This window comes from Homo sapiens, chromosome 5 (genome assembly GCF_000001405.40).
Source record: "Homo sapiens chromosome 5, GRCh38.p14 Primary Assembly".
Lineage (NCBI taxonomy): Eukaryota > Metazoa > Chordata > Mammalia > Primates > Hominidae > Homo > Homo sapiens.
The window spans coordinates 268,794-293,912 of record NC_000005.10 but is presented as its reverse complement, the minus strand read 5'-3'; the positions used below and the strand labels follow the sequence as shown (position 1 = coordinate 293,912).

General features: G+C 50.0%; 1 protein-coding gene, 2 long non-coding RNA genes and 1 pseudogene across 9 annotated transcripts in view, besides 5 other annotated features; 2 read left to right on the top strand and 2 right to left on the bottom strand.

The window, feature by feature from the left end:
- PDCD6-AHRR (PDCD6-AHRR readthrough (NMD candidate)) overlaps positions 1-22,267 on the bottom strand; it is a 166,640-nt gene extending 144,373 nt beyond the window's left edge. For both annotated transcript variants that reach the window (NR_165159.2, NR_165163.2), the window contains exons 1-2: positions 22,092-22,267; positions 21,141-21,202 (exon numbers count right to left, since the gene is read on the bottom strand). This is a non-coding gene — a long non-coding RNA (PDCD6-AHRR readthrough (NMD candidate)). The remainder of the gene's footprint in view (positions 1-21,140; positions 21,203-22,091) is intronic.
- PDCD6 (programmed cell death 6) overlaps positions 1-22,267 on the bottom strand; it is a 43,329-nt gene extending 21,062 nt beyond the window's left edge. For 4 of the 6 annotated variants that reach the window (NM_013232.4, NM_001267556.2, NM_001267559.2 and 1 more), the window contains exons 1-2: positions 22,092-22,267; positions 21,141-21,202 (exon numbers count right to left, since the gene is read on the bottom strand). In NM_013232.4, coding sequence (NP_037364.1) covers positions 21,141-21,202; positions 22,092-22,192 — 163 coding nt within the window. In that variant the 5' untranslated portion in view covers positions 22,193-22,267. Of the gene's footprint in view, positions 1-16,972; positions 17,902-21,140; positions 21,203-22,091 lie in introns of those variants that run through there. The other 2 variants (NM_001267558.2, NR_073609.2) reach the window with 2 other exon arrangements.
- Positions 3,365-5,520, top strand: PPP4R2P1 (PPP4R2 pseudogene 1; annotated as a pseudogene).
- Positions 14,039-14,539: an enhancer, noted in NCBI's record as "H3K4me1 hESC enhancer chr5:279489-279989 (GRCh37/hg19 assembly coordinates)". NCBI's record gives its function as "activates a minimal SCP1, AML or CMV promoter by ChIP-STARR-seq in naive H9 embryonic stem cells {active_cell/tissue: H9 hESC(naive)}" and the evidence as "EXISTENCE:reporter gene assay evidence [ECO:0000049][PMID:30033119]".
- Positions 14,540-15,040: an enhancer, noted in NCBI's record as "H3K4me1 hESC enhancer chr5:278988-279488 (GRCh37/hg19 assembly coordinates)". NCBI's record gives its function as "activates a minimal SCP1, AML or CMV promoter by ChIP-STARR-seq in naive H9 embryonic stem cells {active_cell/tissue: H9 hESC(naive)}" and the evidence as "EXISTENCE:reporter gene assay evidence [ECO:0000049][PMID:30033119]".
- Positions 21,975-22,184: a silencer, noted in NCBI's record as "silent region_15861". NCBI's record gives its function as "represses an Ori minimal core promoter by ATAC-STARR-seq in GM12878 lymphoblastoid cells {active_cell/tissue: GM12878}" and the evidence as "EXISTENCE:reporter gene assay evidence [ECO:0000049][PMID:35858748]".
- On the top strand, positions 22,389-24,357 carry PDCD6-DT (PDCD6 divergent transcript). The gene is made up of 2 exons (NR_104613.1): positions 22,389-22,568; positions 23,706-24,357. It is a non-coding gene; the product is annotated as a PDCD6 divergent transcript (long non-coding RNA).
- Positions 22,475-22,564: an enhancer, noted in NCBI's record as "active region_22271". NCBI's record gives its function as "activates an Ori minimal core promoter by ATAC-STARR-seq in GM12878 lymphoblastoid cells {active_cell/tissue: GM12878}" and the evidence as "EXISTENCE:reporter gene assay evidence [ECO:0000049][PMID:35858748]".
- Positions 23,226-23,918: an enhancer, noted in NCBI's record as "H3K27ac-H3K4me1 hESC enhancer chr5:270110-270802 (GRCh37/hg19 assembly coordinates)". NCBI's record gives its function as "activates a minimal SCP1, AML or CMV promoter by ChIP-STARR-seq in naive H9 embryonic stem cells {active_cell/tissue: H9 hESC(naive)}" and the evidence as "EXISTENCE:reporter gene assay evidence [ECO:0000049][PMID:30033119]".
- Positions 24,358-25,119: the final 762 nt, after the last annotated feature.

The window sequence follows — 25,119 nt, the reverse complement described above, 5'->3', positions numbered from 1 at the left end:
ATCGCGGGCGTTTGCAGCTCCCAGTGCCTCGTGCTGTTCCCGTCTTCTTGATCTGCTCTTCCTGTCATACCTTTCTCCGTCTCTGACAGTATCGCGGGCGTTTGCAGCTCCCAGTGCCTCGTGCTGTTCCCGTCTTCTTGATCTGCTCTTCCTGTCATACCTTTCTCCGTCTCTGACAGTATCGCGGGCGTTTGCAGCTCCCAGTGCCTCGTGCTGTTCCCGTCTTCTTGATCTGCTCTTCCTGTCATACCTTTCTCCGTCTCTGACAGTATCGCGGGCGTTTGCAGCTCCCAGTGCCTCGTGCTGTTCCCGTCTTCTTGATCTGCTCTTCCTGTCATACCTTTCTCCGTCTCTGACAGTATCGCGGGCGTTTGCAGCTCCCAGTGCCTCGTGCTGTTCCCGTCTTCTTGATCTGCTCTTCCTGTCATACCTTTCTCCATCTCTGACAGTATCGCGGGCGTTTGCAGCTCCCAGTGCCTCGTGCTGTTCCCGTCTTCTTGATCTGCTCTTCCTGTCATACCTTTCTCCATCTCTGACATTATCGCAGGCGTTTGCAGCTCCCAGTGCCTCGTGCTGTTCCCGTCTTCTTGATCTGCTCTTCCTGTCATACCTTTCTCCATCTCTGACAGTATCGTGGGTGTTTGCAGCTCCCAGTGCCCTGTGCTGTTCCCGTCTTCTTGATCAGGTCTTCCTGTGAGTTTCAGGGCATGTCTTAGTGCTGGCGCTGTCCTGGTCCATCAGGGGGTCCTGTGGGCTTGTCCATATGGGAAAGTCGGGACTGTGATGTTGACGGGATGCCCTGTGAGTCAGGGGGAGGTGCTGATGGGGGTTTCCATGTAGGAGAGAGAGGTGTTTGGTTTTCCGGATGGTGCAGACTTGAGAGGGGACAAACTTGAGAAATGCCACCAATGAGAAGCCCAGGCAGAGCAGGTCTTGGGGCCGCCCAGCTGTGTGGGAGCCAAACGTGGATGTGTCAGTGGCCACGCCAGGAGGTAAACCCTCAACCAAGGGCCTCTAGGTGTCCAAGGCCAAGTCTTGTTCAAGAGGTGCGTTCAGCTGAGCCAACCATGGCAGAAATGCATAAGGGAGATCCCATGGTTCCTCTGTTTAAATCCTCTGCTAATCCCCACCCGACTCAGAGACGGAGCCAAGTCCTCACAGCAGCCTGCCACCCCTGCCTGACTCGGCCTCCTCTCGGCTCTGTTCTCCATACCCTTCTATCCCTCTCTGTCTCTTCTCCCACCAGAGAGGAGATCCTGCACATTTATCCTGGTGGATTCAAACCCATCTTTGCCATACAGATAGTCACCGGAATGAACAGGTATAAAGAGTCCTTTTGAAAAAGAAAAAGGCAGGCCAGGCATGGTGGCTCATGCCTGTAATCCCAGCACTTTGGGAGGCTGAGGTGGGAGAATCACCTGAGGTCAGGAGTTTCAGACCAGTCTGGACAACATGGTGAAACCCCATCTCTAGTAAAAATACAAAAATTAGCCAGGGGTGGTGGCGGGCGCCTGTAATCCCAGCTACTTGGGAGGCTGAGGCAGGAGAATCACTTGAACCCAGAAGGTGGAGGTTGCAGTGAGCTGAGATCACACCACTGCATTCCAGCCTGGGCAACAGAGTGAGACTCTGTCTCAAAAACATAACAATAGGAATAATAAAAGAAAAGTGCAAAAATTCAAACAACTTAACAGAAACTGGGGAAAAGAGCTGAACTGGCCCTCCACAGAAGAGGAAATGTGGAGGAATGGCTAATGAAAACATGAAGAGGGGCTCAGCCTAACAGTGGGAGATATCACGTGACACCCACCAGATGGGCAAAAATCCCACCACCAACAACCCAATCCATGCCAGTGTTGGGGAGAATGGAGAGAAGCAGGAACACCACGCCCTGCTAAGAACGGTTGTGAAGTCTATTTTTGTTATGCTTGTATATGAAAGAGTATGTTGTGGGTTATGAGGAAAGTTACATTTCTTACCTGGGATGAAATTTTAAAACTTGAAAGCTACTGACCAGAAGCAACTTGCACTTGTGTACAAAAGAAACGCCCAAGAACGTTCCCAACAAAACACAGTCCTCAGGGCCCCAACCTGGCCAAACACTCATCCACAGGAAGATGGAAGACATTTCCCATGCTCCCCTCAGACGATGGGAGATCACGCAGCAATGAAAATGAACCATGTCAGTGTGGGTGGGTCTCAGGGAGAGAATGGAGACGGGAGATCACGCAGCAATGAAAATGAGCCATGTCAGTGTGGGTGGGTCTCAGGGAGAGAATGGAGACGGGAGATCACGCAGTAATGAAAAGGAGCCACGTCAGTGTGGGTGGGTCTCAGGGAGAGAATGGAGACGGGAGATCACGCAGCAATGAAAATGAGCCATGTCAGTGTGGGTGGGTCTCAGGGAGAGAATGGAGATGGGAGATCACGCAGCAATGAAAATGAACCATGTCAGTGTGGGTGGGTCTCAGGCAGAGAATGGAGACGGGAGATCACGCAGCAATGAAAATGAACCATGTCAGTGTGGGTGGGTCTCAGGGAGAGAATGGAGGACAGAAATAGACAGAGCAGATGCTCAGAGCCATGCAGGGCAGGAGCAGCCACGCAGGAGAACTTCCTTACATCAAAGTTCAAAACTACAGCCGAGGCAACAGAGCAAGACCCTGCCTCAAAAAGAAAACAGAAAGTTCAAAAACTAAATGGCATATTTTTTAGGGATGTGCAGATACGTGGTGAAAGAAACGTACTATGAAGAAAAGTGTGGGAATAATAAAGACTAAAGCAGGAACTGATTCCCTCTGCAGGAGAAGGGAAGGGACCCGGGACTCAGGCAGGGCCTCCAGGGAGCATCCACAGTTATGTTTCTTGAGATTCTACTCCCTAAACTTGGTGGAGGTCCTCTGTGTCCAATGTGTCAATATTCTTTATACCTTACCCATCCTGTACAAATGCTTTATTTCTATTCAATACTTAGAAGGCAGTTATAAACAAGATGCATTCAATAGCAAGGTGGCAGATGAACATCAGGAAGGAACATTCATGAGCTTCCATCCACGGAACCTCACCATGGATACGCTTGTGATCAAGGGCCTGGTCTCCCCTCAAGACACGGTCAGAGATCAGAGGCCACACCATCATAGCAGTGGAGCAGGACCAGCTGGGACAGGGTCCTTCTGTGACACCTGCTGCATCACCAGGCTGTGTGAACGGACTCAATTGCCAGAACTCACAGAATAGCAGTATCAGCGCCGAAACCTCACAGGAAAAATGGTAAGTTCTAAGTTTCTCCACTAATAGTAACTCTCAGATTAATCTCTGTCATCCATTGCTTCTCCAAGAAATAACTTTTTAGGGTGACGTGCCAGGCGCCATGTTGGAGGGTTGGTGGTAGTGGCTTGGGGAGATGCTCGCTCTGTTGGTCTCACTCTCTCACATGCTTCCCCTGGCTCCCTTCGTTCCCCCCACCCAACTTGGCCTGCATGCGGGAGTGTGTGCGAGGGAGTGGGAGGACGTCGGGGGGTGGGGGGAGGCATTCCGGTCCCCAAGAGACCTGCGGAGGGAGGCGGAGGCTGTGAGGGACTCCAGGAAGCCATGGACGTTGAGAGTCTCCAGGAGGCGCTGAAAGATTTTGAGAAGAGGGGAAAAAGGAAGTTTGTCCTGTCCTGGATCAGTTTCTTTGTCATATAGCCAAGACTGGAGAAACAGATTCAGTGGTCCCAATTTAAAGGCTATTTTATTTTCAAACTGGAGAAAGTGATGGATGATTTCAGAACTTCAGCTCCTGAGCCAAGAGGTCCTCCCAACCCTAATGTCGAATATATTCCCTTTGATGAAATGAAGGAAAGAATACTGAGAATTGTCACTGGATTTAACAGTATCCCTTTTACTATTCAGCGACTATGTGAATTGTTAACAGATCCAAGGAGAAACTATACAGGAACAGACAAATTTCTCAGAGGAGTAGAAAAGGATGTGATGGTTGTTAGCTGTGTTTATCCTTCTTCAGAGAAAAACAATTCCAATAGTTTAAATCGAATGAATGGTGTTATGTTTCCTGGAAATTCACCAAGCTATCCTGAGAGGTCTAATGTAAATGGGCCTGGGACACCCAGACCACGTAATCGACCAAAGGTTTCTTTGTCAGCCCCCATGACAACAAATGGGTCGCCTGACAGCACAGACAGCAAAGAGGTAAATTTGCAGCAAAATGAAGAGAAAAATCACAGTGACTCTTCGACATCTGAATCAGAAGTTTGCTCAGTGAGCCCTTTGAAAAATAAACATCCAGATGAAGATGCTGTGGAAGCTGAGGGGCATGAGGTAAAAAGACTCATGTTTGACAAAAAAGGCGAAGTCAGAGAAACAGCCATTCAAGCGACTTGCAGCGAAATTTCTTCGGTTATGGTAGAAGAAACAGAAGCATCACCTTCATCTCAGGATAAAGACAAAGAAAGCCGTTGTACCCGGCAGCGCGTACAGAAGAGGATGAAGAGGAAGAAGAAGGTATTGAGAGACCATCTGTAAAAGGGAGGAGTAAGAAGATCCTCAAATTCTTGTATTCATTGCTTTCGTGAAAGAATTGTACATAATAGAACTCCTTGTAATGCCGACATTGGGCTTTTCTCCCACCTGTATGTAGTTGTTGCTGAATTTCAGGGAATGTGATTTGAATTATAGAACATCAGAATTCATGAAACTTAACTGTGGAGGTATTCTGAAAATAAAATTTAAGTACAACAACATTTGCTTATTTTTAGAGTCTTTTATGACATCAAGAGAAATGATCCCGGAAAGAAAAAATCAAGAAAAATAATCTGATGATGCCTCAACTGTGAATGAAGAGACTTTTGAGGAAAATAATCAAATGGAGGAATCTGATGTGTCTCAAGCTGAGAAAGATTTACTACATTCCGAAGGTAATGAAAACGAAGGCCCTGAAAGTAGTGGTTCTTCTGACTGCCGTGAAACAGAAGAATTAGTAGGATCTAATTCCAGTAAAACTGGAGAGATTCTTTCAGAATCATCCATGGAAAATGATGACGAAGCCACAGAAGTCACCGATGAACCAATGGAACAAGACTATTTAGAAACATTTAGATGCAGTATTTTACATACAGTTCTGGTTTTAACGCCGTATAAAACTTTTATGTAAAAAAGTCCACGTTTAGTTTTACAAGAAAAGCAGGTTGTAAAACAATAAAGTACTTTATGGATAATTCCTGGAAGAGTTGTACACGTAAGAACTGTGAATATCAGCTCCTCTGGGTCCTGTTTACCTTACCGCTGATCTTTCTTTCTTTCTTTCTTTTGGTCTGGGCAAATCAGTGGTTTGTGTATAGATTTTTTTTTTTTAATTTAGGATTAAAGTTTTTAAACTGGAAGGTAATCATAATTTTGAAAAGTTTTTTGAGATTATCACATTTAGTTTATACATATGAAAGAAGGTTTTTGTCTTGTCTCTTTCTGATAGCTCTAGCAGTTTTCACATTTTGGTCATAGTTTCAACATTTTAACATGTGAATAACAGGGTTTCATGCTGGTTTCCAGATTTTATTGTCCGGCTACGTACAATGGAACTTTAAGTTATATATACATATGTGTATATATATATATATATATAATATATATATTATTTTAAGGGGGGAAATGTTATATTTTTCTGTTTCCATAAGAGATGAATACAGTGGATACTTTTTCTATTGGTAGTGATTGAGTTCACCTCTTTCAGAAGACATTTTCTTTCTCTTCTGAGTAACTGAAATAAAATCTGGCCTTTGTGAAACCCTAGAAATCTTAAGTCTGTTGAAATACCAGGTTAAACACATTCCAAGAGATCTGTTCAAACTCAAATTCTTTTGTATACTTCTGAGGTGCCTGAGAAACAGACTTCATTATTTATGAGAAAATATTCTTTATTTTTGGAAATTGTGTTCAAATGTTAGCTTACTATTTTGTAGAATGAATGTTTATGAAGCTGATATGAGGCCATCTCAGAACCAAGCAGGTTCCTTGAACTTTTGCTTGCTTTTCTGAACATTGCGAATATTACACGTCTTTCCAAATTATTCTAGAGTATGCAAGTGTCAATGGTATGAAACACCATTGTACTGGAAGAATTAATATATTACTTTAATATGTACCTGAGCTAAATGACTGAAGCTTTAGGGGTGCATAGAAACCACCATAATTTGTATGACATTTTGAAGTGAATTAAATATTTTTGAACATGAAGAAAAAAAGTAACTTTTTATAGCTTTGCATGGGTCTATTTTTCAATTTATATTTTATTTGACTAACTGATTGAAAAGATGTATATTGTGTGTGGTGTGTGATTTTGTCTGTCAGGATAATCATAGCTTAATTTCTATTATTATTATACCAATATCATTTAGTTTTTTTTAAGCTTTTCAATTCCTGAGGGTATTAATCAGGGTCTTTCTGTCTCATTAGACAGAAAACAAATCCAAACTGTGTAAGAGAAAAAGGAATGCATTGATCCCGAGGACTGAGAAGCTCCCAGGCTTAACTTGCTTGGGATTCAGCTACATGTACAGTTTCAAGTGGCGTCCTGAAACTCTCTCTCTCTACTTCCCTAACATCGGCTCCGTGTTTAGCTCCACGAACTTCAGACTTAAACAGCATCACTGGCTCCTGACCAGGATTCCAGCTCCAGGAACCTCAAACTAGAACACCAGCCTGGCTTGTCCACAGGTCTCCAGCTCCAAAACCTAAGACATCAGTGGCAGTACCTACTCCTCCCGGGCGCTCCAGCTCTGAGACCCTCAGACTTGAACCGCAGCACCAGCTCTTCCCCAGATCTCCAGCTCCACGACCCTCAACTAGAACATACCAGCTCCTCCGTGGGTCTCCAGCTCCATGACCCTCAACTAGAAACACACCAGCTCCTCCCTGGGTCTCCAGCTCCACGACCCACAAACTAGAACACTGCTCCCCACTGTATCTCCAGATCCACAACCCTCAACTAGAAACACTAATACCGACTCCTCCGCGAGTTTCCAGCTCCACAACCTAAGACATCAGAGGCAGCATTGGCTCCTCACATAGACTCCAGCTCCGGGACCCTCATATTTGAACCGCAGGACCATCTCATCCCTGGATCTGCAGCTGCACAACACACAAACTAGAACAACATCAGCTCCTCCCCAGGTCTCCACCTGCACGGCCCTCAAACGGGAACATCAGCTCCTCCCCAGGTCTCCAGCTGCACGGCTCTCCAACGGGAACATCAGTACCTCCCCGAGTCTCAAGATGCATGGCCCTGAAACTGGAACATCAGATCCCCGCAGGCTCTCCAGTGGCACGGTCCTCTAAAGGGAACATCAGCTCCCCCACGGGTCTCCAGCTGCACAGCTCTCAAATGGGAACATCAGCACATCCCCGGGTCTCCGGCTGGAAGGCCCTCAAACAAGAACATCAGCTCCTCCCCAGGTCTCCAGCTGCAAGGACCTCAAACAGGAACATTAGCTCCTCGCTAGGCCTCCAGCTGCACAGCCCTCAAACGGGAACATCAGCTCACCCCCGGATCTCCAGCTGCACGGCTCTCAAAACAACATCAGCTCCCCCATGGGTCTCCAGCTGCATGGCCCTCAAACTGCAACATCAGCTCCCCGCTGGGTCTCCAGCTGCACAGTCCTCAAACTAGAACATCAGCTCCCGCCCAGGTCGCCAGCTGCACCACCCTCAAACCGGAACATCAGCTCCCACCTGGGTCTCCAGCTGCACGGCCCTCAAACGGAACATCAACTCCCCCCGGGTCTCCAGCTGCACAGCACTCAAAGGAGAACATCAGCTCCCCCCTGGGTCCTCAGCTGCATGGCCCTCAAACTGCACCATCAGCTCCCCCCACTCCCCGGGTCTCCAGCTGCATGGCCCTAAAACTAGAACAACAGCTCCCACCTGGGTCTCCAGCTGCACGGCCCTCAAACTGGAACATCAGCTACCCGCCGGGTCTCAAGCTGCACAGCCCTCAAAGTAGAACATCAGCTCACCCCTGGGTCTCCAGCTGCACAGCCTTAAACTGGAACATCAGCTCCTGGGCCCTCAAACTGGAACATCAGCTTCTGGGCCCTCAAACTGGAACATCAGCTCCCCCACTGGGTCTCCATCTGCACATCTCTCAAACTGGAAATTCAGCTCACCCCAGGGTTTCCAAATGCACGGCCTTCAAACTGGAACATCAGCCCGCCCCCGGGTCGCCAGCTGCACGGCCCTCAAACTAGAACATCAGCTCCCACCCGGGTCGCCAGCTGCACCAACCTGAAACTGGAACATCAGATCCCCATGGGTCTCCAGCTGCAGGGCCCTCAAACTGGAACATCAGCTCCCTGCCGGGTCTCCAGTTGCACGGCCCTCAAACTGGAACATCAGCTCCCCACCAGGTCTCCAGCTGCACGGCCTGCAAACTGGAATATGAGCTCCCCGCCGGGTCTCCAGCTGCATGGCCCTCAAACTGGAACATCGGCTCCCATCAGGTCTCCAGCTGCACGGCCCTCAAACTGGAATATCAGCTCCGCCCCAGGGCTCCAGGCGCACAGCCCTCAAACTGCAACATCAGCTCCCAGCCGGGTATCCAGCTGCATGGCCCTCAAACTGCAGCATCAGTTCCCCCCCGGGTCTCCAGCTGCACAGCTCTCAAACTGGAACATCAGCTTCCTCCTGAGTCTACAGCTTCACGGCCCTAAAACTAGAACGTCTGCTCCCCTCTGGGTCTCCAGCTGCACGGCCCTCCAATTGCAACATCAGCTCCCCCACCAGGTTCAAACTGTTCCAGGTTAAGGGCTGTGCAGCTGGAGACCTGGTGGGGAGCTGATGTTCCAGTCTGAGGGTCTTGCAGCTGGAGACTCGGGGGTAGCCGATGTTGCAGTTTGAGGGCTGTGCAGCTGGAGACCCGGATGGGAACCGATGTTCCAGTTTGAGAGCTGTGCAGCTGGAGACACTGTGGGGAGCAGATGTTCGAGTTTGATATTCCTCCCCGGGTCTCCAGCTGCAAGACCCTCAGACTGGAACATCAGCTTCCCGCGGGGTCTCCAGCTGCACGGCCCTGAAACTGGAATATCTTCTCCCCCCCGGGTCTCCAGTTGTATGGCCCTCAAACTGGTACATCAGCTCCCCGGCCCTCAAACTGGAACATGAGCTCCCCGCGGTGTCTCCAGCTGCACGGCCCTGAAACTGGAACATCAGCTCCCTCCTGGGTCTCCAGCTGCATGGACCTCAAACTGGAACATCAGCTCCCGCCCGGTCTCCAGCTGCACGGTCCTCAACCTGGAACATCACCTCCCAACCAGGTCTCTAGCTTCATGGCCCTCATACCGGAACATCAGCTTCCCGCTGGGTCTCAAACTGCATGGCCCTCAAACTGGAACATCTTCTCCCCCGCACAGGTCTCCAGTTGCATGACCTTCAAACTGTTACATCAGCTACCCGGCCCTCAAACTGGAACATCAGCTCCTGCCAGATCTCCAGCTGCATGACCCTCAAATTGGAACATCAGCTCCTCCTGGAGTATTCAGCTACGCGACCCTCAAACCAGAACAGCTCCTCCCCGAGTCTTCAGCTGAACGACCCTCAAGCTAGAACATCAGCTCCTCCTCAAGTCTTCAGTTGCAAGACCCTCAACTTAGAACATCAGCTCCTCCCCGAGTCTTCAGCTGCAAGATCCTCAATCCAGAACATCAGCTCCTCTCCCGGTCTGCAGCTGCAAGACCTTCAAACTACATCAGCTCCTCTCCAGGCCTGCAGCTGCAAGATACTCAAATTAGAACATCAGCTCCTCTCTAGGTCTCCAGCTCCAAGACCCTCAATCTAGAACATCAGCTCCTCCCTGAACATCCAGCTGAAAGACTTTCAATGCAAACAACATAAGCTCCACCCCGAGTCTTCAGCTGCAACACCCTTAAACTAGAACATCAGCTTCTCTCCAAGTCTTCAGCTGTAGGTCCCTCAAGCTAGAACATCAGCTCCTCCCTGGCTCTTCAGCTGCATGACCCTCAAACTAGAACATCAGCTCCTCCCCGAGTCTTCAGCTGCAGGACCCTCAAAATCTAGAACATCAGCTCCTCTCCGGGTCTGCAGCTGCAAGACCTTCAAACTGAACATTAGCTTTTCTATGGGTCTGCAGCTGCAAGACACTCAAACTAGAACATCAGCTCCTCTCCAGTTCTCCAGCTGTAGGGCCCTCAAACTAGAACATCAGCTCCTCCCTGAGGCTTCAGCTGCACAACCCTCAAACTAGAACATCAGCTCCTCTCCGAGTCTTCAGCTGCATGACCCTCAATCTAGAACATCAGCTCCTTCCCGAGTCTTCAGCTGCACGACCCTCAAACTAGAACATCAGCTCCTCCCCGAGTCTTCAGCTGCATGACCCTCAATCTAGAACATCAGCTCCTCTACGGGTCTGTAGCTACAAGATCCTCAATCTAGAACATCAGCTCCTCTCTGGGTCTGCAGCTACAAGATCCTCAAACTAGAACATCAGCTCCTCTCTGGGTCTGCAGCTGCAAGACATTCAAACTAGAACATCAGCTCCTCTCCGGGTTTTCACCTCCATGATCCTCAATCTAGAACATCAGCTCCTGCCTGAGTCTCCAGCTGAAAGACCCTCAAAGTGAACAACATAAGCTCCTCACCAAGTCTTCAGCTGCATGACCCTCAAACTACAACATCAGCTCCTCCCCGAGTCTTCAGCTGCATGACCCTGAATCTAGATCATCAGCTCCTCTATGGGTCTGTAGCTACAAGATCCTCAATCTAGAACATCAGCTCCTCTCTGATTCTGCAGCTACGAGATCCTCAAACTAGAACATCAGCTCCTGCCTGAGTCTCCAGCTGAAAGACCCTCAAAGTGAACAACATAAGCTCCTCCCCAAGTCTTCAGCTGTACGATGCTCAATCTAGAACATCAGCTCCTGTCCAGTTCTCCAGGTGCACGACCCTCAAACTAGAACCTCAGCTCCTCCCCGAGTCTTCTGCTGCACGACCCTCAAACTAGAACCTCAGCTCATCCCCGAGACTTCAGCTGCACGACCCTCAAACTAGAAGATCAGCTCTTCTCCACGTCTGCAGCTGCAAGATCCTCAAACTAGAACATCAGCTCCTCTCCGGGTCTGCAGCAGCAAGACCCTCAAACTAGAACATCAGCTTCTCTCCAGGTCTCCAGTTCCATGACCCTAAATCTAGAACATCAGCTCCTCCCTGAGTCTCCAACTGAAAGACTCAATGCAAACAACATCAGCTACTCCCCAAGTCTTCAGCTGTGCGACCCTCAATCTAGAACATCAGCTCCTCTCCAGGTCTGCAGCTGCAAGACCCTCAAACTAGAACATCAGCTCCTCCCCGAGTCTTCAGCTGCATGACCCTCAAGTTAGAACATCAGCTCCTCCCAGAGTCTTCAGCTGCATGATCCTCAATCTAGAACATCAGTTCCTCTCTGGGTCTGCAGCTGCAAGACCCTCAAACTACATCAGCTTCTCTCCGGGTTTGCAGCTGGCAAGATGCTCAAACTACAACATCAGCTCCTCTCCAGGCCTCCAACTCCATGACCCTCAATCTAGAACATCAGCTCCTCCCCGAGTCTCCAGCTGAAAGACCCTCAACGCGAACAACATCAGCTCCCCCCCCCCCGATTTTTCCGCTGCACCACCCTTAAATTAGAACATCAGCTCCTCTCCAGGTCTCCAGCTGTAGGTTCCTCAAGTTAGAACCTCAGCTGCTCCCCGAGTCTTCAGCTGCAGAACCCTCAATCTATAAGATCAGCTCCTCTCTGGGTTTCCAGTTCCATGACCCTCAAACTACATGAGCAGTTCCTCCCTGAATCTTCAACTGCAAGACCCTCAAACTACAACATCAGCTCCTATCTGTATCTCCAGCTGCAGGGCCCTCAAACTAGAATATCAGCTCCTCCCCGAGTCTTCAGCTGCATGACCCTCAAACTAGAAGATCAGCTCCTCCCCAAGTCTTTAGCTGCATGACCCTCAATCTAGAACATCAGCTCCTCCCCGAGTCTTCAGCTGAAAGACCCTCAAAGCGAACAACATCAGCTCATCCCCGAGTCTTCAGCTGCACAATGCTCAATCTATAACATCAGCTCCTGTCTGGTTCTCCAGCTGCACGACCCTCAATCTAAAACATCAGCTCCTCTCCGGATCTCCAGCTGTAGGGCCCTCAAACTAGAACCTCAGCCCCTCCCCGAGTCTTCAGCTGCACAACCATCAAACTAGAACCTCAGCTCCTCCCTGTGTCTCCAGCTCCACAACCCTCAAACTAGAACCACACCAGTTCCTCCCTGGTCTCCAGCTCTACGACCCACCAATTAAAATAACATCAGCTCCTCACAGATCTCCATCTGCATGACCCTCAAACTAGAACACCTCTCCCACCTGGATCTCCAGCTCCACGACCCTCACAGAACAGCCAAACCAGCTCCTTCACTGTCTTCAGCTCCACAACCTAAGACATCAGTGGCAGCACCAGCTCTTCCCTGGACCTCCAGCTCAACGACTCTCATAGACTTAAAAGGCAGCACCGGCTCCTCCCCAAGGCTCCATCTCCACCACCTTCAGATTTGAACAGCGATAGCACCAGCTCCTCTCCAGGTCTTCAGCCCCAAGACCCTCCCTGACCAATCCCTTCTTACGAAATTCAGCAGTCAAGAAAACTGCAGCAGAAGTAAATGAATAAATGTTTTGTTTTCAAATCGATGTCTCTTTTATGTTCATGAGTTAACTTTTCTACTTTCCATTAGCCTTGCAATCTACTTATGTCCAATGTGAAACAGAAACACACCATTTGAAATCACGTTTAAAAACTTAGTAGTATTTTTAAAGAAAATCACCACACAGCTGTAGATGCGATCTTATTTCTCTCTGCCTGTGCAGAAGTCTTATGAAAATTCGAACTATGAATTTACTTTGTTGAGATTCCCAGAATACACATTAATCCCAACTGTTACTCCCCTCCTTAAAATCTTTTAACATATTCCCATCACTTGAGCATAAATGCCAGCTCCCATCCACAGCCCAAAGTGCCCAGCACGGCCCTGCCCTCTACCCTGGTCTATGGTCTCCCCTCTTAAATGCCAGCTCCCATCCACAGCCCAAAGTGCCCAGCACGGCCCTGCCCTCTGCCCTGGTCTATGGACTCCCCTCTTAAATGCCAGCTCCCATCCACAGCCTACAGTGCCCTCACAGCCCTGCCCTCTGCCCTGGTCTATGGACTCCCCTCTTAAATGCCAGCTCCCATCCACAGCCTACAGTGCCCTCACAGCCCTGCCCTCTGCCCTGGCCTGTGGTCTCCACTCTGGTGCCTGGCCCAGCCCTCCCCACCCCTCTGCCCTGGCTTATGGTCTCCCCTCTTAAATGCCAGCTCCCATCCACAGCCCACAGTGCCCAGCACAGCCCTGCCCTCTACTTCGGTCTATGGTCTCCCCTCTTAAATTCCAGCACCATCCACAGCCCACAGTGCCCGGCACAGCCCTGCCCTCTGCCCTGGTCTATGGTCTCCCCTCTTAAATGCCAGCACCATCCACAGCCCACAGTGCCCAGCACAGCCCTGCCCTCTGCTCTGGCCTAAGGTCTCTCCCCTGTGCTGTTCCCTTCCTGCCGGACAGGCCTCTATCCGTTCCTCAAACCACACAGGCTCAGGCCTGACTCCAGGCCTTTGCCCTGCTGTGCCCTCTGCCTAGGGTGCCTTTCCCGGGCTCTGCATCCTCCTCTCAACCCGCTGAGCTCCAGCCTGCTGGTCGCCCCTCAGGTGGATGAACACATGGTGTCCTCTCGCCCCGCTGGCTTTTGCACAGGCTCTTCTCTGTGCCAGACACAAACCCTCTCTATCGGGGTTTACTCTCTAAATACCATTCGTCCTTGGAGTCTCCACTGAAATATCGCTCCCTGCCCACCCCCCTCCCTTGGACTTAACCTTGGTTAGGTTGCCAACCCCCGTCTCCTGACTCCGGGAAGCTAGATGCTCTCCTAGCACTCGGAACTTGCCCATCGCCACATTTTGCACACCCGTGATTACTGGGTTAGGTTGGCGCACAAGTCATCGCAGTTTTTGCCATTACTATTAATGAACTGCAGCACCGGCTCCTCGTTTTTTTTTTTTTTTTTTTTTTTGCCATTACTTTTAATGACTGCTGCACCAACCTATTAGAATCATTTATATTTATTCATCCATCATCTGCCTTCCCCTCTAGAAAGGAAGCTCCATGAGAATAGAGGCCAAATCTACTCAAATAACTCCACCTTCCCACACATTGTCAATAATCATTTACCAACTGACTGATAGAGAAATGCCTTCCCTGTTGCTGGGATGAGGCACATGACACGCCCCTTTGAAAGTCACTGTCATGGACAGTTGGCATTTGCTCTTCACTGCTGCACCCGTGGCGTGGCTGGGCTTAGGCTGATCTAGTCTGGCCTTGACTCTAGGCTGAGGGTGGGAACCATGCCTGCTCCACACGCCTCTCATTCCACAGCCAGAGCCGCCGTTCCCTGGGGCACGCATATCTCGTGGGGAAAATCAAGAGCCTAAGAGGGCAGGCCTGGCAGTGCCACACATTCCAGGCTTCTGCTTGTGCCGTGTCTGTGAAAATCTCGTTGGCAGAAGCAAGTCACCCAGCCACAAGCAACACCTATAAGTCCATCCACCCTCCCTCCGGCCCTGGCAAGGATGCGGCTGCGTCATACTCTTAGGGGGGAATGAAAAACTGAGGCCCAAAATTAAATCACCCATGGCAAGAAATGTCAGTCTCTGTGTCCCCACACTGGAATTCTTCTTCACCAGCGGGTTTGCCTGAGCTGACTTCCCTTTGCAATGGTGTCTGCAGGTTTAGGCCAATGCTGTTCCCCATGGAGGACAGAGAAGCCTCAACGGGCCTCTCTGTTGGGAAGAACAAGATATTAGCTTGGCGCGAAACAACCGCAAGCCACAGGTGGCCCACACCCCGTGAGACAGGAGAGGGGCAGAGAACTGTGGGAACTCAGGAAAGCTTGCATCCCTAGCCCCTCCCATGTCCCCAGCCCCTCCCGTGTCCCCAGCACCCTCCCCCGCATCCCCAGCACCCTCCTGTGTCCCCAGCACCCTCCCCTGCATCCCCAGCACCCTCCCCTGTGTCCCCAGCCCTCTCCCCTGCTTGCCCCATCTCTTTCTTTTTTTCATTTTCTTTCTTTCCTTTTGTTTTATTTGAGACAGGGTCTGGCTCTGTCACCCAGGCTGGAGTGCAATGGCACGATCTCGGTTTACTGCAACCTTCACCTCCTAGGCTGAAGCAATTCTCCCTCCTCAGCCTCCCCAGTGGCTGGGACTACAGATGCACGCCACCATACCCAGCTAAATTTTTTTTTTTTTTTTGGGAGAGACAGGATCTGCCATGTTGCCCAGGCTGGTCTCAAATTCCTGAGCTCAAGTAATCCTCCCACCTCAGCCTCCCAAAGTGCTGGGATTACAAGCATGAGCCACCGAGTCCAGCCTGCTTTATTTTTCTCTACAGTACTTGGAATCTTCTAATATACTAAGGACACGTGTATTTTCTTTCTGTCTTCCCTAGAACAGGAGCTTAATGTGGGCAGGTATTTTTGTTGATCTCATTTATCACCCTATCCCCAGTGCCTGGACAGGGTCTGGCACATGAATGGTGTGTTCTAAATAAATATTTTTAATAGATAAATAAATGAAATATCCTACAAGAGAAAGCTATATCTGGAACTCACCCACCAACAGAACCTAAAAGCCAAAGACCTTTAGCCTGTCTCTGCCTCTGAACACACCCAACCCCGGAGGAGCCAGCAGAGGAAAAAGAGGACAAAGGTGGGGAAGGGAGCAGGTGGTGCCCACCAAGTAAGGAACCCTGAGGCTTAGGCGGAACCTGAGCTGGAGAAGGGACTCATCTAGGAACTGGGTATGAGATTAAAGTTTAGATTTGTCTGGCCTGGATTTTGTTAACACCTAAACAAGGGTTATTCTATTCTTTTTTTTTTTTTTTTTTGAGATGGAGTCTCACTGCCCCCCAGGCTGGAGTGCAGTGGCGCTATCTCAGCTCACTGCAACCTCTGCCTCCCAGGTTCAAGTGATTCTCACGCCTCAGCCTCCCGAGTAGCTGGGATTATAGGCGCGCACCACCATTCCCGGCTAATTTTGTATTTTTAGTAGAGATAGGGTTTCACCATGTTGGCCCCCTGGCTCACGCCCGTAATCCCAGCACTTTGGGAGGCTGAGGTGGGCAGATCAAGAGGTCAGGAGATCAAGACCATCCTAGCTAACATGGTGAAACCCTGTCTGTACTAAAAATACAAAAAATTGCTGGGCGTGGTGGCTCACGCCTGTAATCCCAGCACTTTGGGAGGCTGAGGCGGGTGGATCATGAGGTCATAAGATCGAGACCATCCTGGCTGACACGGTGAAACCCCGTCTCTACTAAAAAGACAAAAAATTAGCCAGGCATGGTGGCGGGTGCCTGTAGTCCCAGCTACTCGGGAGGCTGAGGCAGGAGAATGGCATGAACCCAGGAGGCGGAGCTTGCAGTGAGCCAAGATAGTGCCACCGCACTCCAGCCTAGGCGACAGAGACTCTGCCTCAAAAAAAAAAAAAAAAAAAAAATACAAAAAATTAGCTGGGCGTGGTGGTGGGCACCTGTAGTCCCAGCTACTCAGGAGGCTGAGGCAGGAGAATCGCTTGAACCCCAGATGCGGAGGTTGTAGTGAGCCAAGAGCGTGCCACTGCACTCCAGCCTGGGCGATAGAGCAAGCCTCTGTCTCAAAAACACACATAAAAAAACCTTCAAACGAATGTAAGAATTATTATTTTTTAAAGTACAGCTTTAAAAATGCCCCTTACAAATACATCAGTGTTATATTAAGGCAAACCTACTTCAGAAGCACAAAGTTAATTTCTTATAATTCCAAGAAATATGTGAATGTTAAAAAAACCCCAAACACCCGAAAAGGGATCAAACTCAAGATAGTTTGGAACATTTTATTGCAAAAAGAAGGGCAGAGAACAGTCTTCTTCTTCATACCTGTTCACCACAGACCTCCCTGAGAGCAGTAATTTTTAGCAGCTCTCCTGTGCAAACAAGTCTCATGAAGGAATCAGTGTATGGGCCACAAATACCTTCTCAGTGTGGTTTCACCTAGAATACAAGCACTCAGAAGCACAAATTTAACTGAAGTGAGAAACCAGGCCATTTTGTAGCTTCAGTTTTTCTACCAGTAATATATTAATTTCTTGAAATAGCCTAATAATTTAGTTCTACTATCAAAACAGAAGCCCAATCTGGGAGCACAATTATTATAGAAATCAAACTAATTTCAATCATATTAGTATAGGAATTCATATTAGTATAGGCTGAGGCAGGAGGATCACTTGAGCCTAGGAGTTTGAGACCAGCCTGAGCAAGACAGTGAGACTCCATCTCTAATTTTTTTCTTAAAATAAAGAAATTCAGAGAGAAGAAGGAAGAGGATATGTGTTTATCCAAGGACAAATTTTGTGTGCCTGTACATACAACACAACTATGAACCTTCCTTCACGCAGCTCACAACCTAGTAGTGAGAGGGAACTATGAAAACGTGAGCCCCCACGATGAGGAAAAAGGTGCATATCAGAGAAAAGAAAAATGCTGCGATGATCCAATGGCAGGAGCAGCGCGCATCCACTTTCTTTGTTTTTTTGAGATGGGGTTTCGCTCTGTCTCCCAGGCTGGAGTGCCGTGGCTTGATCTCAGCTCAATGCAGCCTCAACCTCCCAGGCTCAAGTGATCTTCCCATCTCAGCCTCCCAAGTAGCTGGGAATACAGGCGTGCACCACTACACTCATTTACTTTTTGTAGAAACAGGGTCTCACAATGTTGCCAAGGCTGGCATCCTGAAGGGCGGGTGGGGCTTCATCCTACAGAGATGAAAGGCAGAAGAAGCTTAGAGCCCAAAGCAAAGGGGTGGAGGACAAGGGCATCTTCAGAACAGAGTGGCTCGGCTGAGACATCCAGTAGGATGCCACCAGGCAGAGGTGTGGTGGAAAAACACAGGGCCACGGTGAATGCTCACATGTGAGGAGCAAACCACCACAGAACACAACAGAAACACGGTGTACTAAATCAGGCTTCAAATCGCAGCCCTGCAACTTGAGAGCTACCACAGGTAACCCGGAAAGGGAGCACCGACAGCAATGCCCACTGCCTGAGGCTGTGAGATGGACCAGAAACCTGTGCTTACTAACAACCTGCCTTATTCCAGAAGGAATTCAGGAAACACAGAGACACTCACGGTACAGCAAAATAAAGTAAATGTGAATCATATTGGTTGAGAAGAAAGTGAAGAGTCTAAGACTATGTCATAAAGTTTACTTCTACTCTAAACTCTCATTACTGGTGAGCCACCAACCTGACTTTAAATTTTCTAGCAGCTAAATTGAAGAGGAAAATGTCATCAGGTAAACGTTTATAAGATGCAAACAAAACAGAACGGCCACCACAGTTTCTGAGAACACGCGCAGCTCCAGGAGAAATGGGGTGGCCATTTCCTGGGGCTGCCCCGCAGCAGGTGTGTGAGCCCGAAAGCCAGCGTCTCTCAGGGTGAACAGTGACTACGGGCTTCATGGGGCCACATGCCCCCAGCACAAGCTGAGGAAATCTCCCAGGGCAATTCAGGCAACAGGGTCTCACAGTGTCGCCCAGGCTGGTCTCAAACTCCTGGGCTCAAGGGATCCCCCTGCCTCGGCCTCCCAAAGTGTTGGGAGGTCAGGCGTGAGCCACTGCACCTGGCCCTGCACTCACATTAGAGAAGAGGGCTTTGCATCCTGAAGGGCGGTGGGGCTTCATCCCACAGAGATGAAAGGCAGAGGAAGCTCAGAGCCCAAGGTAAAGGGGGGCGCCTAAGAAAAGTGACTCCATTGGGACCACGGTGAGAGGGTCCCGATACACAGCTTGGGTTAAGCCACTGATTTCAAAGTATCTCAGGAATGGTGGACTCAGCACCCATCAGGCAATTCTCTCAAGCAGTCTCCTGGTAGATATTTAGTAGCAGCTGAAATCAAGATTATGTTCTGATAGACACTTGCTGATGGTTAAAGAGCTATATACACTTTGAGGACCAGCTGAACTGGGGCAGGACTAACTCCCTCTGGTGAAAATACAGGAACCCAAACACACAAGTCAGAGCAGGAGGTGTCTCCCCCACCCCCAAACAATAATGCTGACCTTGGATTTGGGTTAAGTGCCTAGCCCAGCGTGTGAGTGTTGAGTAAGTGGAAACCATCATCACCATCATCAGGTAATGGAAAACCATCAAAGCTTTGAGCTGGCTTGTTAGCCAAGAATAGTACCAGTGTATTAGCTACTACTAATACTCACAGCTGACAATTACTGAGCACTTGCTCCGTGCCAGGAATCACGGAAACACCTCGCATGCATTTCCTCAATACTCCCTCCCAGTAACGGCGAGGACACAAAACTGGTAGAGCCAGGACTGGAATCCAGGCAGGCCCCAAAGCACTCCAGTGGAGCCTGCCAAGGTGGGCAGGCTACCATACTAATGCGGTCCAGTATTTGACCACCACTCCTATTTGAGCAAGTTTAACAGAAAACCTAAAACTAAACCTAAAATCTAAAAATTAGAGCAAATGCATAAAAAGCAGGCTGTTAAAATGGATCATAAATCTTGCATCACTCATTGGAAAACCACTCAAAATAAATGTCTCTGAAACATGGCCTCTGAGGAGGGCACTCCGTGTGGCTTGTATCACCCTGGTGACAAACCACTTGAACCTGGATGGTCATCTGACCATATTTAACAGGTGATGCACAGAGCCATTTGCATCCACTGTGGTCAACATTTAGGAAGTTTTAAGCTGAGATTTGCCAAATTGTAGCCTACTGGATTCCGGGTTCTCTTGACATCTCTTTCTAGTAGCCACGTCTTGCACTTCCCGAGTAAAAACGAACTGAGATGCAAATAAAAAAAAAAAAAACGAGGATTTAAGAATAATGAAAAGAGAAAAACCAAGAAAGCACAATCACTAGTGTAGAGATAACAGCATTTCTGAATTCCCTGAAAACAATCTATAGAAATGCATGTGAAATAATACACCAGCATCTGTGGCCCACACGCCACATATTAGGAACTGATGTCGTAATATAAGGTAAAAATGTTACTCTGAAAACACAAATCCTCACAAATCATTAGGCAGTAAGGCTGAATCCAGCACCCCCCCACCCACAGCGCAGTGAGGCAGTGTCTAGCAGCCGTAGTGCTCCCCGCGCCCCAGTTCAGTCTCTGGCAACTTCAGATACTTCCCACTAATAACAAGAAGCCTTTCAACATTTTCACAACATCTCAAAACTGACCCCTTTTCTAGCTTAAATGGCACGGATCTGGAAAAGCAAACTATACACAGAATCAGAAAAGATGACTGCCCCTGAGGGATTACAGAAAAAGTGGCAGTCAGGTTTCAATGAAGTAAAATGTGTCCAATGATAGCGGAGGGGAGGGGGATCAACTGAGCTGAAACTGGCAAGAACGTAATTCCAGGGAGCTCACAACACGCAAGGACCCGGATTTCCCGCTGCCTGAACGCCCAGTATTCGCACACTGATAAGAACACCTCCCCATAATCCCCTGGCCAGCGCCTCCAACACCCCCAATCCTTTCCCCAGGAACCCAGTCCCAGTTTCTGCAGTTCCTGTAACAGCCACATTCCCATACAAGGGCTGCCTGAGCTCCCCAAGCCCTCCAACAATCACCCCCCAGTGCCCTCGAAGGTCTATTCAGAGAAGTCACCAAGATGCAGTCACCCAGGAAATTCAAGGACCTCCAACTTACCAAAAGGCTTTCGGCTGTACAGAGCTAAGCTTCCTATTCCCCTCCTAAACCTACAATCTAGTTTTCATTTCTCAAGAAGCCTTTCCCTGTGCTCACGCACGCAGTTGTTAGCTGGCTCGGTGAGGCACTCCAAGCAGTAACAGCGGTAGCCACAAAATAAACCAGAAGCATCTCCACTACGAAGCAGTAATAACAATTTGTCCTAATGATTCCTTTGTCCTTGGAAAAACAACTTCAGAAAGTTATCCACTGTGAACAGGGCAGGCTCGCGGCTTCTTGGTCCGGAGACCCAGTTCCCACTGGCCCACTCACCGTTGGAGAGAGCTTGCTGAAGCTCGGTGTCTGATATCACTCCACTCCTGTCTTTATCGACCCTATAACATCAAGAAGACCAAATAAGCTGGCGATCGAAAGTTCAGGAAAAGCAAAACAAACGTCTTCTGTCAACCCTGCACCGACTCTGGAAGGCTCCCTCCTGGAACCTCCGCCTCTCCCGTCCCGCTGAGGAGTACAGCGGAATCAAGGAAGTGCCCCAGGAGCCGACGTCCAGTGTGGTCTTCCCCTAAGAGGACAATCATCTTCACCTCAATCCTTCCCTTCCTTCCTCTCCTGGCCTGTCTGAATTCCCATTTGCACCCGTTTCCCTTTTTCACAGACAAGACAAGATTCCCTCAGATAACTAAGCCATTCCCTGGCCATCAGTCACTACAGTTTCGGACATTCGGTGGAAAAGCGACCAGGGACAGAAGGCGCCGCCATAAAGGTCACCTGGCCCGAGCAGACGCCAGGTCGCTGCTTCTTCCTTGGCTGCTGACATTTTAACAGCGCCCAGGCAGTCTGTTTCCGCTTTCCCCAAACAAGCACCCTGGAGACCCTCCACCTGGCGGCTCTTGAGGCGAGAAAAAGGGCCTAGCCCAGGAGCCGGTGGCCGCGACCTCGGGTCTGCAGTGGCGCACTCTGCATCTTGGGAAGGGCCCGACGCACAGGACAGGGACCGGGCAGGAGGCAGGGGCGGCCCCAGGAGACCGGGCAGCGGACGGGGGAGACCGCGGGGGACCCGCCAGGGGACGGGGGCGGCCGCGTCGGCTGGGGCAGGGGTCGGGGGCGGCGGCAGGGGACGGGAGGGGGCCGCGGGGGACCCGACAGGGGACGGAGGAGGCCGCAGTAGAACCGGCAGGGAACGGGGTTGGTCGGGGGAGTCGGGACAGGGGTCGGGGCCGCCGCGGCGGAGGCGGGAGGTGCCCGGGCGGTGCCAGGCCGCACCTCTGGAAAACGTTCCACAGGAAGCTCTGGTCCGGCAGCGCCGCGCCTGCAGCAGGCCCAGGGCCGGCCCCAGGGCCGGGGCGGTAAGAGTAGGCGGCCATGGGCCAAGGCACGCGGCTGGGCTGAGGCGCCTGCAGCGACGAGAGACCTCTCAGGCCGACTCCGCTTCCGCCTCTGCCGGGGGCAGGGCCTGGCATTATCACCACTTCCGGGGGCGCAGGAAATGCGTGGTCTCCGGGATGGTCACGGGGTCCCGCGCAGCCAATCCCCTCGCAGCTAAGTTGCCAGGCAACGCCCTGGCGCCTGCGGGGAGGGCGGGGTCTGGGCGCCTGGAGGAAGCCAGAGCTTTGGCGCAGGCCGCCTGCGCGCTGTGCCAGGAAAGCGCTTGGAGAAAATGTCCGGCCCCGCGACCTGGGACAGGAAGTGATGGAGCACGGACTTAGTTTGCCTTTCAGTTCTTGTATAAATAGTTTTGAGGTGAATGTGATTTGCTAACAGTCGGAAACTCTGGGCGGGGCGCGGTAGCTCACACCTGTGATCCCTGCCCTTTGGGAGGCGGAGGCGGGCGGAGCTCTTGAGCCCAGCAGTTCGGACCAGCCTGGGCAGCATGGATAGACCCCATCCCTACAAAAATTACAAAAAGTAGTCGGGCGTGGTGGGCTCCTGTGGTCCCATCTACTCCGTGGGCTGAGGCGGGAGGATTGCCTGAGCCCGGGAGGTCAAGGCCGCAGGGAGCCGAGCTCACTGCACTACAGGGGTGGACAGCGAGACTCTGCCAAAAAAAAAAAAAAAAAAAAGAAAGCAAAAGCAGGCCGGGCGCGGTGGCTCACGCCTGTAATCCCAGCACTTTGGGAGGCCAAGGCCAGTGGATTACCTGAAGTCGGGAGTTCGAGACCAGCCTTGGCCAATTGGGAGACACCCCGTATCTACTAAAAATACAAAACTAACCGGGCGTGATGGTGCACACCTGTAATCCCAGCTACTCGGGAGGCTGAGGCAGGAGAATTGCTTGAAACCGGGAGGAGGAGGTTGCAGTGATCCGAGATCGGGCCATTGCACTCCAGGCCTGGGCAACAAGTGCAAAACTCTGTCTCAAAAAAAAAAAAAAAAAAAAGTCAAAACACAATTCGGGTGGGAAAGGCAGTGTGCAGCATTCTCGGTTGTCTGTTCCGCCCCCAAAAGCTTCCCTCCTTTAGGTTTAACCTGCGCCCCCGTGCTCTGCATCAGCGCGGCCCCTGACCCCGTGCAGCTGGAAACACTGCTGGGCCCCTTCACACCCCTGCCTGCTGGGCCCCTTCACACCCCGGTGGTGGTGCAGCCCTGCCTCCCGCAAGACAGCACTGCCTTCGTGCTGGACACAGTTCTAAGGTGGAGCCTGGAGTGCCTGTAGCACAAATCCCGGAATTGGGAAGTGCCCAGCTTTGGGCCACTGTGATCCCTGGGTCTTTCCCACGCGCGTAGTCTCGTGCCGCCTTCCACCCCGGTCCTGTGTCCTGTGCCCCGGTTCAGAATACTACAATTATTCTCATTATTTCATGGGGTTATTTCAGCTTTTCAGTTTCTTCAGTGCCTCATTCCATGAATGCTAACTTTTTTCATCCTCATACTTCCTAGGGTTGTCTCTGAATTTTCACTCAGTTGTCTACCAAGATGTTGAATGGACCCAGAGCCAAGGACGTGGTCTTTTATCAGTGGCACCTGAGACTTTCTTCCCTGTGGACGCAAATCCATTATTCAGCACTCTGGGCACAGCTACAGATCTGATCAGCTATCCATTCTCCAAACTATCTCATCCTCTGTCCCATTTTTCTGTCTCTCTTGTCCACAAGGCATATACCTGAGAGTTTTCAAATTCCTCAGAGAAATTTAGATATTCTGTGGCTTTGGCATTCACCTAATGTGTTAATCTACAAACCTTTTTTACAGTGTGGATTTTTTTTCATGATGTGAATTCAAGTGGTTTCTAATGGTCTCTTCATAAAGTTGTAAACCAAAAGTAAAATTCTAAGGCCCCACCCCATCTGAATGGACCCCTTCTCTGGGCCAGGGCACTCCAAATTAACCTGAAAACCGTTCAGGCCACGACATGAAGTGGGGGCGGGTGGGACATGGCTGACTATGCCCTCCTCCCTTTTGGAATTCAGGGAAAGCCAACACAGACCTTAAGTCTAATGAGAAACACCATCTATTCTCTCTGAAGCCTGCTACCCCAAGGCTTCTTCTGCTGATAAAACTTTGGTCTCCACAACCTCTTATAACCCAGACATTCCTTTCTATTGGTAATAACTCTCAACTAATTGCCAATCAGAACATTTTTAAATCTACCTATAACCCAGAAGCCCCCACTTTGAGTTGTCCTGCCTTTCTGGACTGAACCAATGTATATCTTGAATAGATTTGATTGATGTCTCACGACCCTCTAAAATGCATAAAACCAAGTTGCACCCCAGCCACCTCCTGAGGTCTGTGTCATGGGCGTGGCCACTCTATTTGGCTCAGAATAAATCTCTTCAAGTATTTCACAGAGGTTCAGCCTTTTCATTGACAAAGTATTCATATCACTTGTTGAAGAATCCTTTCTAGAATCTTCCACAGCTCTTTGAGCTGTAGTTTCTGAAGTCCATCTTTATTCTCCCTCCCATCACTGGCTCCTGTTTTGTTCTCCAGAACTCTGAAAATACTAACAACTATGATTTTGTGACCCAATTTGGAAGTTCTTACAGGGAAACCTCAGCAAGAAACAGCTCAGTGCTAGACGCAGTGGCTCATGTCTATAATCCCAGTACTTTGGGAGGCTGAGGTGGGAGGATCACTTGAGGCCAGAACTTCAAGACTAGCTTGGGCTATTTTAAAATTTTTTAAAAGGGGGAGCATCTCAGTGACTGCAGCAGGCCTCAGCCTCCACTCCCAACAGTTAGTTGGGCTCTACCAACTGTTGGCCGAGTCTCCAACCTGGAGTACCACAGCCATCATCACCCATGGCACCCAGGAGTGCTCCGTCATGCTTTCCCTTTAGTTCTAGGGGTAG